General features: G+C 57.8%; 1 long non-coding RNA gene across 1 annotated transcript, besides 1 other annotated feature; it reads left to right on the forward strand.

Moving 5' to 3' along the window:
* Positions 521 to 802: a silencer, noted in NCBI's record as "fragment chr17:21904629-21904910 (GRCh37/hg19 assembly coordinates)". NCBI's record gives its function as "represses an EF-1alpha promoter that drives an FKBP-Casp9 reporter gene in an ReSE screen in HepG2 liver carcinoma cells {active_cell/tissue: HepG2}" and the evidence as "EXISTENCE:reporter gene assay evidence [ECO:0000049][PMID:32094911]".
* On the forward strand, positions 4399 to 12121 carry FLJ36000 (uncharacterized). Its single transcript, NR_027084.1, has 2 exons — positions 4399 to 4549; positions 8475 to 12121. It is a non-coding gene; the product is annotated as an uncharacterized FLJ36000 (long non-coding RNA).
* The last annotated feature ends 232 nt before the right edge of the window (positions 12122 to 12353 follow it).

Consider the following 12353-nt stretch of genomic DNA (forward strand, 5'->3'; position numbering starts at 1 on the left):
CCGCTTTTTGCTTCACAGTGCTTCCCACGGTTGTCTTAGGAACCAGTCCCCGAGGCTTGGCAACGCGGGAGCCCTCCGTGGCGGCGCCTGGGTGTCGGGCCTCCGAGGCTCCGGCCTGACCTCTCCACGGGGTCCACAGGAACGTCTCCGGCTGCCAGGAGTCACAAGGGGCCGAGCAGGATGAGGAAACCACAGGCGGAGTCCGGGGGCGTGCATTTCTCGGCCACCGCGGTAGGACTGTGTGTGGGGCTGTGTCTCCCATTCTCCCTTTCTCTCTCTGTCTCTCACCCTCTGTGTGCTTCTTTCCCTCTGTGTGTGTGTGTGTGTGTGTGTGTGTGTGTGTGTGTGTGTGTGTGTGTGTCTTTGGACGAATGTGCCCTGTGCGTCAAAAAGGGATGTCTTTTATGTGGACCGGTCTTTGGTGAGCCTCTTTCTGCGTCTCTCCCTGGGTCCTGCGGCCAGCTGTCCATCGTCTTCGCGGCGGTTCCACTTTGGGTCTGTGCAGGCCTCGATAACGTGAGGGGATGCATCGGGCCCGGAGCAGTGGAAGTCTCATCCCCATCCTGAGCGGCCTCTTTTCTAGGATCGAGAGGACCACACTGCAGCCCAGGACAAAAGCCCCACGGTAGCACATTGTCCGGCAGGAGAGGAGCAGACCCACGTCCAAGAAGATGGTTTTACCTTTCCACGCCCCTTCTCTGCGAAATGAAGCCACACCACCACACAGTCTTGAAGAGGAAGCCTGGAATGGGAGACGGCAACAAGCCCCGTCCCTGGAACGCTGGCCTCTCTGGACAAGCCACCCGCTTCGCACCCCTCCTCTTATGCCCGTGGCGGTGGCACGGCGCTGTATCCTGCCTGGGCTATGGCCTCTGCTCTGTCGTCCCTCTTGCTCTGTCTCCCCTGTTTCTGAGCGGCCTAGATGCCTCTCGGTCTGGCTGAATATCTTCTACGAAGATCACTTCCCCGTCCATCAGGGAGACACTTCCTGGAGATCCGTGTCATGACTGTTTCTCTCTCCAAGCCTGTTTCTGCTGGATTGCGCAGGTCTGATGACCCTGGGGCTCTTGGCTTCCATACGTGTCTCAGACAGGGAAGCTTCCTCGGTCTCCGTGTTTCACCTCATGGGTGGGTGGATTGCCTAGGATGAGCGAGCGCTAGGCCGGCGAGACTGGCCTTGTCTTCTAGGACAAGTGCATTTCCCCTGCGCTTCCTGTCTCACTCTTGAGGGACATCCTCTCCTCCGCTCACAGGTGGACAGACTCCCTGGATCTTTTGGCTGTAACGAATGTCAGGAAACAAAGGGACTGCGCTGGGACTGGGGCTGGGGCTGCGTGCAGGGGAGGTTGCGTCAGGGCTAGCTGGGTGGTGGAGGGTTGGGGGTGGGGTGACTGTTGCAGAAACCTCTGTGGTCCTCTGGCAGGCATTTCAACATGTGGCTTGGCTGAGGCACAAGCCCCGTCCAGGTTCCCAGGTCTTCTTTGTGTTCCCTTGGCACTCAGGGAAAGGCCACTTGATCCCCTTTCTACCGGGCGCATGCCTGGGCACCACTGTTGCTTTCGCCCTCGCCCCACATGCCTCCGGTGACATACATTCACGCCATCTGCTCTGGTATACGCCAGTGCCAGGCGTGATCGCATTGTCTCCACCTGGGATTCGCCCCGTCCCTGTCTGCACGTGTCCTGGAAAGCGGTGTCGGCTTGCAGGAGCCCCAGGGCTTTTAGAAGCGGGCCAGGCCACCGCTCTTTCAAAGGAGGAGGGAGGCAGAGGGCTCACGGATCAGTGAATTTTCCGCTGACAGCAGGCCTTGAGGGCCATGGGATCATTCTGTGCTGCAGCGAGGCCCTGCCTGCCTCAGCAGATGTGGTGAGCCCATCCTTTCTCGCCCAGAGTGGTCCAAAATCGCATCTGAAGAGGAGTCCTGAGAACCCAGCAGGCGCCCTGAAGCTCCCCGTCCATCGGTGGAAGTCGGCTCAAGGAGGTCCTGAAGACGGGACTCCTGGGGGCTCGGCCCTGGGACACCCGTGGCCCCCTCTCCCACGCGGCCCCAAACTGGACCCCGGATCCAGCCGCAGCCGCGGCTGCAGCAGGCGCGCCCCCTGCCGCCGCGCAGCCGCCCGTATTTAAAGGGGACGCAGCCTGCCTGACTGCCAGGAGCCAAGCGCGAGTCGGCCCAGCCAAAGCGCATGCGCGAGGCGCGCGCCGCTTTTTGCTTCACAGTGCTTCCCACGGTTGTCTTAGGAACCAGTCCCCGAGGCTTGGCAACGCGGGAGCCCTCCGTGGCAGCGCTTGGGTGTCGGGCCTCCGAGGCTCCGGCCTGACCTCTCCACGGGGTCCACAGGAACGTCTCCGGCTGCCAGGAGTCGCAAGGGGCCGAGCAGGATGAGGAAACCACAGGCGGAGTCCGGGGGAAGCAGCGTGGCATCCCAGCCTCAGGCCTGCCAGGACGGTGTTCGGGTGAGTCTCCCGAGAAGTCGTGCCCCCGTGATCTCGAGGACAGGTCCGCCTGCGTGCCCGAGGGCTGTTCTCTCAGCCGAGGGTTGTTCCTCTCCAGAGCAGAACCCGGCAGCCGCAGGGGTTGCCTGGGGGCGTGCATTGCCTAGGATGAGCGAGCGCTAGGCCGGCGAGACTGGCCTTTGTCTTATAGGACAAAGTGCATTTCCCCTGCGCTTTCCTGTCTCACTCTTGAGGGACATCCTCTCCTCCGCTCACAGGTGGACAGACTCCCTGGATCTTTTGGCTGTAACGAATGTCAGGAAACAAAAGGGACTGCGCTGGGACTGGCGCTGGGGCTGCGTGCAGGGGAGGTTGCGTCAGGGCTAGCTGGGTGGTGGAGGGTTGGGGGTGGGGTGACTGTTGCAGAAACCTCTGTGGTCCTCTGGCAGGCATTTCAACATGTGGCTTGGCTGAGGCACAAGCCCCGTCCAGGTTCCCAGGTCTTCTTTGTGTTCCCTTGGCACTCAGGGAAAGGCCACTTGATCCCCTTTCTACCGGGCGCATGCCTGGGCACCACTGTTGCTTTCGCCCTCGCCCCACATGCCTCCGGTGACATACATTCACGCCATCTGCTCTGGTATACGCCAGTGCCAGGCGTGATCGCATTGTCTCCACCTGGGATTCGCCCCGTCCCTGTCTGCACGTGTCCTGGAAAGCGGTGTCGGCTTGCAGGAGCCCCAGGGCTTTTAGAAGCGGGCCAGGCCACCGCTCTTTCAAAGGAGGAGGGAGGCAGAGGGCTCACGGATCAGTGAATTTTCCGCTGACAGCAGGCCTTGAGGGCCATGGGATCATTCTGTGCTGCAGCGAGGCCCTGCCTGCCTCAGCAGATGTGGTGAGCCCATCCTTTCTCGCCCAGAGTGGTCCAAAATCACATCTGAAGAGGAGTCCTGAGAACCCAGCAGGCGCCCTGAAGCTCCCCGTCCATCGGTGGAAGTCGGCTCAAGGAGGTCCTGAAGACGGGACTCCTGGGGGCTCGGCCCTGGGACACCCGTGGCCCCCTCTCCCACGCGGCCCCAAACTGGACCCCGGATCCAGCCGCAGCCGCGGCTGCAGCAGGCGCGCCCCCTGCCGCCGCGCAGCCGCCCGTATTTAAAGGGGACGCAGCCTGCCTGACTGCCAGGAGCCAAGCGCGAGTCGGCCCAGCCAAAGCGCATGCGCGAGGCGTGCGCCGCTTTTTGCTTCACAGTGCTTCCCACGGTTGTCTTAGGAACCAGTCCCCGAGGCTTGGCAACGCGGGAGCCCTCCGTGGCAGCGCTTGGGTGTCGGGCCTCCGAGGCTCCGGCCTGACCTCTCCACGGGGTCCACAGGAACGTCTCCGGCTGCCAGGAGTCGCAAGGGGCCGAGCAGGATGAGGAAACCACAGGCGGAGTCCGGGGGAAGCAGCGTGGCATCCCAGCCTCAGGCCTGCCAGGACGGTGTTCGGGTGAGTCTCCCGAGAAGTCGTGCCCCCGTGATCTCGAGGACAGGTCCGCCTGCGTGCCCGAGGGCTGTTCTCTCAGCCGAGGGTTGTTCCCCTCCAGAGCAGAACCCGGCAGCCGCAGGGGTTGCCTGGGGGCGTGTATTGCTCGGCCACCGCGGTAGGACTGTGTGTGGGGCTGTGTCTCCCATTCTCCCTTCTCTCTCTGTCTCTCACCCTCTGTGTGCTTCTTTCCCTCTGTGTGTGTGTGTGTGTGTGTTTGTGTGTGTGTGTGTGTGTCTTTTGACGAATGTGCCCTGTGCGTCAAAAAGGGATGTCTTTTATGTCGACCGGTCTTTGGTGAGCCTCTTTCTGCGTCTCTCCCTGGGTCCTGCGGCCAGCTGTCCATCGTCTTCGCGGCGGTTCCACTTTGGGTCTGTGCAGGCCTCGATAACGTGAGGGGATGCATCGGGCCCTCCGTGGCAGCGCTTGGGTGTCGGGCCTCCGAGGCTCCGGCCTGACCTCTCCACGGGGTCCACAGGAACGTCTCCGGCTGCCAGGAGTCGCAAGGGGCCGAGCAGGATGAGGAAACCACAGGCGGAGTCCGGGGGAAGCAGCGTGGCATCCCAGCCTCAGGCCTGCCAGGACGGTGTTCGGGTGAGTCTCCCGAGAAGTCGTGCCCCCGTGATCTCGAGGACAGGTCCGCCTGCGTGCCCGAGGGCTGTTCTCTCAGCCGAGGGTTGTTCCCCTCCAGAGCAGAACCCGGCAGCCGCAGGGGTTGCCTGGGGGCGTGTATTGCTCGGCCACCGCGGTAGGACTGTGTGTGGGGCTGTGTCTCCCATTCTCCCTTCTCTCTCTGTCTCTCACCCTCTGTGTGCTTCTTTCCCTCTGTGTGTGTGTGTGTGTGTGTTTGTGTGTGTGTGTGTGTGTCTTTTGACGAATGTGCCCTGTGCGTCAAAAAGGGATGTCTTTTATGTCGACCGGTCTTTGGTGAGCCTCTTTCTGCGTCTCTCCCTGGGTCCTGCGGCCAGCTGTCCATCGTCTTCGCGGCGGTTCCACTTTGGGTCTGTGCAGGCCTCGATAACGTGAGGGGATGCATCGGGCCCGGAGCAATGGAAGTCTCATCCCCATCCTGAGCGGCCTCTTTTCTAGGATCGAGAGGACCACACTGCAGCCCAGGACAAAAGCCCCACGGTAGCACATTGTCCGGCAGGAGAGGAGCAGACCCACGTCCAAGAAGATGGTTTTACCTTTCCACGCCCCTTCTCTGCGAAATGAAGCCACACCACCACACAGTCTTGAAGAGGAAGCCTGGAATGGGAGACGGCAACAAGCCCCGTCCCTGGAACGCTGGCCTCTCTGGACAAGCCACCCGCTTCGCACCCCTCCTCTTATGCCCGTGGCGGTGGCACGGCGCTGTATCCTGCCTGGGCTATGGCCTCTGCTCTGTCGTCCCTCTTGCTCTGTCTCCCCTGTTTCTGAGCGGCCTAGATGCCTCTCGGTCTGGCTGAATATCTTCTACGAAGATCACTTCCCCGTCCATCAGGGAGACACTTCCTGGAGATCCGTGTCATGACTGTTTCTCTCTCCAAGCCTGTTTCTGCTGGATTGCGCAGGTCTGATGACCCTGGGGCTCTTGGCTTCCATACGTGTCTCAGACAGGGAAGCTTCCTCGGTCTCCGTGTTTCACCTCATGGGTGGGTGGATTGCCTAGGATGAGCGAGCGCTAGGCCGGCGAGACTGGCCTTGTCTTCTAGGACAAGTGCATTTCCCCTGCGCTTCCTGTCTCACTCTTGAGGGACATCCTCTCCTCCGCTCACAGGTGGACAGACTCCCTGGATCTTTTGGCTGTAACGAATGTCAGGAAACAAAGGGACTGCGCTGGGACTGGGGCTGGGGCTGTGTCTCCCATTCTCCCTTCTCTCTCTGTCTCTCACCCTCTGTGTGCTTCTTTCCCTCTGTGTGTGTGTGTGTGTGTGTGTGTGTGTGTGTGTGTGTGTGTCTTTGGACGAATGTGCCCTGTGCGTCAAAAAGGGATGTCTTTTATGTGGACCGGTCTTTGGTGAGCCTCTTTCTGCGTCTCTCCCTGGGTCCTGCGGCCAGCTGTCCATCGTCTTCGCGGCGGTTGCACTTTGGGTCTGTGCAGGCCTCGATAACGTGAGGGGATGCATCGGGCCCGGAGCAATGGAAGTCTCATCCCCATCCTGAGCGGCCTCTTTTCTAGGATCGAGAGGACCACACTCCAGCCCAGGACAAAAGCCCCACGGTAGCACATTGTCCGGCAGGAGAGGAGCAGACCCACGTCCAAGAAGATGGTTTTACCTTTCCACGCCCCTTCTCTGCGAAATGAAGCCACACCACCACACAGTCTTGAAGAGGAAGCCTGGAATGGGAGACGGCAACAAGCCCCATCCCTGGAACGCTGGCCACTCTGGACAAGCCACCCGCTTCGCACCCCTCCTCTTATGCCCGTGGCGGTGGCACGGCGCTGTATCCTGCCTGGGCTATGGCCTCTGCTCTGTCGTCCCTCTTGCTCTGTCTCCCCTGTTTCTGAGCGGCCTAGATGCCTCTCGGTCTGGCTGAATATCTTCTACGAAGATCACTTCGCCGTCCATCAGGGAGACACTTCCTGGAGATCCGTGTCATGACTGTTTCTCTCTCCAAGCCTGTTTCTGCTGGATTGCGCAGGTCTGATGACCCTGGGGCTCTTGGCTTCCATACGTGTCTCAGACAGGGAAGCTTCCTCGGTCTCCGTGTTTCACCTCATGGGTGGGTGGATTGCCTAGGATGAGCGAGCGCTAGGCCGGCGAGACTGGCCTTGTCTTCTAGGACAAGTGCATTTCCCCTGCGCTTCCTGTCTCACTCTTGAGGGACATCCTCTCCTCCGCTCACAGGTGGACAGACTCCCTGGATCTTTTGGCTGTAACGAATGTCAGGAAACAGAGGGACTGCGCTGGGACTGGGGCTGGGGCTGCGTGCAGTGGAGGTTGTGTCAGGGCTAGCTGGGTGGTGGATGGTTGGGGGTGGGGTGACTGTTGCAGAAACCCCTGTTGTCCTCTGGCAGGCATTTCAAAATGTGGCTTGGACTGAGGCACAGGCCCCGTCCATGTTCCCAGGTCTTCTTTGAGTTCCCTTGGCACTCAGGGAAAGGCCAGTTGATCCCCCTTTCCACCGGGCACATTCCTGGACAGCAATGTTGGTTTCTCCCTTGCCCCATATGCCTCCGGTGACATACATTCACGCCATCTGCTCTGGTATATGCCAGTGCCAGGCGTGACCGCATTGTCACCACCTGGCATTCGCCCCGTCCCTGTCTGCACGTGTCCTGGAAAGCGGTATCGGCTTGCAGGAGCCCCAGGGCTTTCAGAAGCGGGCCAGTTCACTGCTGTTTCAAAGGAGGAGGGAGGCAGAGGGCTCACGATTCAGTGAATTTTCCACTGACAGCAGGCCTTGAGGGCCATGGGATCATTCTCTGCTGCAGCCAGGCCCTGCCTGCCTCAGCAAATGTGGTGAGCCCCTCCTTTCTCACCCGGAGTGGTCCAAAATGGCATCTGAAGAGGAGTCCTGAGAACCCAGCAGGCGCCCTGAAGCTCCCCGTCCATCGGCGGAAGTTGGCTCAAGGAGGTCCTGAATACGGGATTCCTGGGGGCTTTGCCCGGGGACACCCGCGGCCCCTTGTCACAGGCGCCCCGAAACTGTACCCCGGATCCAGCCGCAGCCGCGGCTGCGCAGGCGCGCCCCCTGCCGCCCCGCACCTGCGGTTATTTAAAGCTGACACAGCTTGCCTGAGGGCCAGGAGCCCATGCGAGTCGACCCAGCCAATGCGCATGCTCGAGTGGCTCGCCGCTTTTCGCGTCATAGTGGTTCTCACGGTTGTCTTAGGAACCAGTCCCTTGGCAACGCGGGACCCCTCCGTGGCAGCGCTTGGGTGTCGGGCCTCCGAGGCTTCGGCCTGACCTCTCCACGGGGTCCACAGGAACGTCTCTGGCTGCCAGGAGTCGCAAGGGGCTGAGCAGGATGAGGAAACCACAGGCGGAGTCCGGTGGAAGCAGCGTGGCATCCCAGCCTCAGGCCTGCCAGGACGGTGTTCGGGTGAGTCTCCCGAGAAGTCGTGCCCCCGTGATCTCGAGGACAGGTCCGCCTGCGTGCCCGAGGGCTGTTCTGTCATCGGAGGGTCGTTCCCGTCAGGAGCAGAACCCGGCAGCCGCAGGGGTTGCCTGGGGGCATGTATTTCTCGGCCACCGCGGTAGGACTGTGTGTGGGGGTGTGTCTCCCATTCTCCCTTCTCTCTCTGTCTCTCACCCTCTGTGTGCTTCTTTTCCTCTGTGTGTGTGTGTGTGTGTGTGCCAGTGTGCGTGTGTGTCTTTGAACGAATGTGCCTTGTGCGTCAGAAAGGGATTTCTTGCTTGTCTGCCGGTCTTTGGTGGGTTTCTTTCTGCGTCTCTCCCTGGGTCCTGTCCAGCTGTCCATCGTTTTCACGGCGGTTCCACTTTGGGTTTGCGAAATCCTCGATCACGTGAGGGGATGCGTCGGCCGGGAGCAATGGAAGTCTCATCCCCATCATGAGCGTCCTCTTTTCTAGGATCAAGAGGACCACACTCCAGCCCAGGACAAATGCCCCACGGTAGCACATTGTCCGGCAGGAGAGGAGCAGACCCACGTCCAAGAAGATGGTTGTACCTTTCCACGCCTCTTCTCTGCGAAATGAAGCCACAGAACGACACAATCTTGAAGAGGAAGCCGTGAATGGGAGACTGCAACAATCTGTGTCCCTGGAATGCTGGCCTCTCTGGACAAGCCACGCACTTCGCACCCCTCCTGTTATGCCCGTGGCGGTGGCACGGCGCTGTATCCTACCTGGGCTCTGGCCTCCTCTCTGTCCTCCCTCTTGCTCTGTCTCCCCTGTTTCTGAGCGGCCTAGGTGCCTCTTGGCCTGGCTGAATATCTTCTACAAAGATCACTTCCCAGTCCATCAGGGACTCTCTTCCTGGAAATCGGTGTCATGACTGTTTCTCTCTCCAAACCTGTTTCTGCTGGGTTGGTTAGGTCTGGTGACCCTGGAGCTCTTGTCTTCCATACGTGTCTCAGCCAGGGAAGCTTCCTCGGTCTCCATGTTTCACCTCATTTGTGGGTGGATTTTCTAGAATTAGTTGTAGGCGACAGTGACTGGTCTTGTCTTCTAGGACAGGAGAGGTGCCGCATTTCTTCTGCACTTCCTGTCTCATCCTTTAGGGACATGCTGTCCTCTGCTCCTGGGTGTACTGAGTCCCTGAATCTTTTGGCCCCCTCCTGCATCCCAGGTGTTCTTTGATTTTCCTTCGCATTGATGGAAAGGTCACTTGTGCCCCGCTTCCGCCGGCCACATGCCTGGACACCATTTTTTGTTTCGCCATCGCCCCATACGCCCTCGGTGACACACATTTATGCCATCTGCTCTGCGGTACACCATGCCACGTATGGTCTCATTGGCTCCACCTCGGAATTTCCCCTGTCCCTGTGTTCACGTGTCCTGGAAAGTGGTATCAGCTTTCAAGTGCACCAGGGCTTTTCTTTTTTCAAAGGAGAAGGGAGGCATCAGTGAATTTTCAGCTGACACCTCGCCTTGGGGCCCATGGGATCATTCTGGGATGCAGCGAGGCCCTGCCTTCCTAGCAGATGTGGTGAGCCCATCCTTTCTCACCCGGAGGGGTCCAAAGTCGGATCTCAAGAGGAGTTCTGGGACCCCAGCAGGCGCCCAGAAGCTCCACCTCCACCCCGGAAGTCGGCTTAAGGAGGTCCTCAAGACCGGACTCCTGGGGGTTTGGCCTTGGGACGCCTGTGGCCTCCTCTCCCACGCTGCCCCGTACTGGACCCCTGATCCAGCCACCGCCAGGGCTGCAATGCGAGCCGCCCTTCCTCTGCGTAGCCGCTATTGTTTAAAGGGGTCGCAGCCTGACTGCCAGGAGCGGAGTGCGACTCGGCCCCTCCAATGCGCATGCGCAAGGCCCTGGCGCATGCTCCAGTCACAGTTATTCCCACGGTTGTCTTAGAAACCCGTCCCTGAGGCTTGGCAAAGTAGGAGCCCTCCGTGGCAGTGCTTGGGTGTCGGGGCTCCGAGGCTCCGGCCTGACCTCTCCACGGGGTCGACAGGAACATCTCTGGCTGCCAGGAGTCGCAAAGGGCCGACCAGGATGACGAAACCACAGGCGAAGTCCGGGGGAAGCGGCATGGCATGCCAGCCTCAGGCCTGCCAGGACGGTGTTCGGGTGAGTCTCCCCAGAAGTCGTGCCCCCGTGATCTCAAGGACCGGTCTGCTTGCATGCCTATGGGCTGCTCTCTCACCTGAGGGTCGTTCTCATGTGGAGCAGAACCCTGCTGCCTCAGAGGTTGCCTTGGGGTGTGGTGTGTTTCTGTGCCAGTGCTGTATGACTGTGTGTTTTTGTTTCTGTGTGTGTGTGTGTGTGTGTGTGTCTCCTATTCTCTCCTCTCTCTCTGTCTCTTACTCTTTCCCTCTCTCTGTCGGTTTGTTTGTGTCCTTGTGCGTGTGTTTGTTTGGACGAATGTGCCTTGTGCGCCAAAGAAGCTATTTTTGCATGTCGTCTGGTCTTTGTTGAGCCTCTTTCTGGGTCTCTGCCTGGGTCATGTGGCCGGCTGTCTATCGTTTTCTCGGCGTTTCCACTTTGGGTTCGTGGAGACCTCGACCACGTGAGGAGATGCGTCAGTCCCGGGGCAATTGAAATCTCATCCCCATCCTGAGCAGCCTCTTTTCTAGGATCAATATGACCACACTCCAGCCAAGGACAAAATGCTCACAGGAGGTCATTTTTCTGCAGGGGTGGAGCCAACCAAAGTCAAAGAAGATTGTTGTATCTTTTCACAGCTCTTCTCTGAGAACGAAGCCACACAACGATAGAATCTTGAAGAAGAAGCTAGGAATGGGAGATGGCAACAATCCCTGTCACTGGAACACTGGTCTCTCTGGACAAGTCACCAGTTTGGCACCCCTCCCCTTATGCCTGTACCGATGGCATGGTGCTATATCCTGCCTGGGCTCTGGCCTCTGCTCTGTCCTCCCTCTTGCTCTGTCTCCCCTGTTTCTGAGGGGCCTTGATGTTTCTTGATCTGTCTGAATGTCTTCAACAAAGACCACTTCCCAGTCCTCCAGGGCGACACTTCCTGGAGATCCGTGTCATGATTGTTTCTCCCTCCAAACCTGTTTCTGCTTGATTAGCCAGGGTTGATGATCCTGGGGCTCTTGGCTTCCATACGTATCTCAGACAGGGAAGCTAGCTTGGTCTCCATGTTTCACCTCATGGGTGAGTGGATTGCCTAGAATGAGCAGTAGGTGACTGTGACTGGCCTTGTCTTCTAGGGCAGGGACATGTCGCATTTCCTCTGCACTTCCTGTCTCATTCTTGAGAAACATCCTCCCCTCTGCTCATGGGTGGACTGACTCCTTGAATCTTTTGGCTGTAATGAAAGTCAGGGATCCAATGGGACTGGGCTGGGGCTGGAGCTGGATGCAGGGGAGGTTCTGTCAGGGCTACCTGGGCATTGGAGGATTGGGGGTGGATTGAACTTTGCATAAACCTCTTTACTCCTCCAGCAGGCTTTTCAAAATGTGGCTTGGACTCATGCAATAAGAAATTTACCGGTTGAAAGGGCCCCTTTTTCAATGGCACTCTGGGTAACATCGCTTCAGCACAATCATATGGTAGAGAAGCCTTATCAAATTTGCTGTCCCTCAGGGCTCTTAAAGATGCTTGATAAATTATTAGGGAAATAAGAAACAAATTGAAAGGAAAAGGAAATCCAAGGACCTGCCCCAGAAGAATCATAGATATGTTTGAATACTTATTCATTATTTGCCCCAGATAGAAAATGTTTGTTAATCAAAAGGCAAAAGTTATAATGAGGAAGATAATATTGCCTGGGGCAATGTTGAGACAAATAAGGTGAAGATCAACCAAACGCCCTGAGTCCTTTGGCCCAAATCCCTGCTGGGGACCCAAATACTTTTGATATAGCATCTTGCTACCTGAGGAACGCAAGGAGAATAATACTCATAAGCAGAGCCTCTGTTTTCCCATAGGACTGACTCTAACTATGTGAAGAACTGCTACATATTCTACAGTGCTTAATAGGCGGTGCCTATCTAACAGGAGCTGTTTGGCTTGTGGATAGCAGTTCCAAGATGAACAAATGACATTGTGTTTGAAAGCCACTGCTCTTATTAAAGAAGAGTCAAGCAAATGTTTTTATTTTGAGTTATTTATAGTTTAGAAAAATTGGGTGAAGTGTGTTTTTGTGAGCAAATTTATTTTTCTCTAGGTTATCCGTAATTTGAAAGCTGTGAGTATTCTGATTAGGTGACAATATAGTTATTTGCTTAAGTACATCTTTTATTGTAAAATGGGACAAATGGAGACACTGGTTATTTTACCCAGGCTTTGACTAGAATAACTTAATTTTAGGTAAATCC

This window comes from Homo sapiens, chromosome 17 (assembly GCF_000001405.40).
Source record: "Homo sapiens chromosome 17, GRCh38.p14 Primary Assembly".
In the NCBI taxonomy this organism is placed as follows: domain Eukaryota; kingdom Metazoa; phylum Chordata; class Mammalia; order Primates; family Hominidae; genus Homo; species Homo sapiens.